We start from the raw sequence: 2,020 nt of genomic DNA, 5'->3' as shown, positions 1-2,020 counted from the left end.
CAGCTAGGTTTCTGCCTTATTGGAACATGGTGTGATAAGGCATTTGCTTTATTTGAGCATGGTCTATTCAGCTGGGTTGCCTTTGAATGGCTGAGCTCAGATGTTACCGATTTGCTGAAAACCAACTATCTGTTACAAAAAATATACTTCTAAGATAGGTTTCAGTTTGCTTACCTACTCAGTGAGGTTGTAGCTTGTTACATAAAAACGCAAAGTACAAGACAGCCTCAAGTTAATGGCCTCCTGCTTATTTAATTTAGCAATGATAATGACTAATGTGCTTAGTAGAGACTAAATAAATAATTTAAGATGAAAAAGAACACACATACAGAAATACACATGTACACCCACAAATACACACCTATGAATCAAAAGACAACAACTAAAGACAAAATGAAGCTAGAAAGCGCATTGCCAGGTACAAAGGTTAAACATTTCAGAGATAACCACGTGTTTTAAAAAGATAAAGCACCTCTTTGGAGTTGTGTGCTCATAAACAGAACTCTAAATAAGCACTGACAAAGTTATGACACATTTGATGGATTTTGATAAACCAGAGAGGAATAAAGAAAATGACCCAACCTGGTCTTAAAAGAAATTAGACTTTCTGACACAATTCCCCTTGTAAGTGTAACCCAAGGTAGCTGTGACCAAGGAAATAGAAAAGGAAAGCGCCAAAAGGCCCATTCATTTTTTTTTTTTTAACTGCCAACTTGAGATAAAGACCAACAATGGCAAAGATCTTTCCCTCTGGCAATTAGATTATGGCAAGACACTCAATGTCAGAGTCTCAGAGGATAAGAAATGAGGTCTTCAAATACAAGCAAAAGCCCAAAGAACTTAAGGTTAATGAAGATGAATTGGACATAACCAGAAATTGCATCTTAATTTTTCTTTTTACGGTTTTTAAGCCTAAGACATCCACGATTATGAAGGAGATCTCTTCTAAGGCAATCAGCTAGCCTAACTTAATTATTGAAAGCAAGCTCACATGAATGCTCAGGGAGAATATAAAAAATATCTGAGACACTGATTGAATTATGAGAATAACTGCTTAGGGAGAGAAGATACACAGGTACATGAGCTACACTTATAAAATGAGACACTGCAATGGGGAAAAATATTTCTTAAAAACAAAAATTTACTGGAGGAAGAAAATTCAGAGGATTATTTACTTAGACAATAATTTGTGGAGGTTTTCTTTTCCTCTGTTGTAAAAAAGTCAAAGAAAGAGAAGTATTGGACCCTTCCCATTCTAAGACAGTGGTTATGAATCCAGAATCTAGGCTCCCTGTCCCAAGGATTGTAATGACTTATGTGACAGAACCTGAAATAAGAAGTCAGCAAACGCATGGAAAACAAAAATTCCCCCAGTTGCTGACATCAAATCTTGAGAGGTAGTGACTCACCAAAAGTATCTGGTATAAAAACTGTTTAAATTTTATGGAAGAAAGGAGCTCAAAATTGGAGAAAAAATGTTGTGTTTCTCAAGACTGTGAGGAAAGAAGGAACTAGACTTCCAGGGAGTAGTGAAGAACCACACCCTCTCTGCAGAGGTGAGAGGCCAAAGTGGGAGACTGGTGAGGACTTGTTCCTAAACACAAGGTCTTCAGCATATTCATGGTGTCTTACAATAAGGAGTTTATAATCCCTGGAAAAGACGTCTTTGAAGGATACCTTTAAGTCTACCATCAGGAACATGGAAGATTCACTGAACCATGGCACCATCAAGAAGGTCAGAGTATGGTCATATAAGTACCATAACATATAGGTTACAGTACCTGTATGGCCACTGCAGACTAACAACCAGAGACTTTTCACTTTCCTGACACATTCCAGTACAGCCTCTGAAAATAAAAGGGAGAACCTTAAAACATGAATGAACAGATCAATTTTTAAACTGTTGGTTGATTCCCTCCTCAAATAGGGGACAGCAAATGGGTAACTTGTTCCCCATATTCTGTAGATAATAGCTCCAGCTTTGGCTAATATATCCCTACCTAATAAGGGTGTGGGACTT

The sequence above is a fragment of the Homo sapiens genome, chromosome 11 (genome assembly GCF_000001405.40).
Source record: "Homo sapiens chromosome 11, GRCh38.p14 Primary Assembly".
Classification (NCBI taxonomy): Eukaryota; Metazoa; Chordata; class Mammalia; order Primates; family Hominidae; genus Homo; species Homo sapiens.
This window is presented reverse-complemented; position numbering follows the sequence as displayed.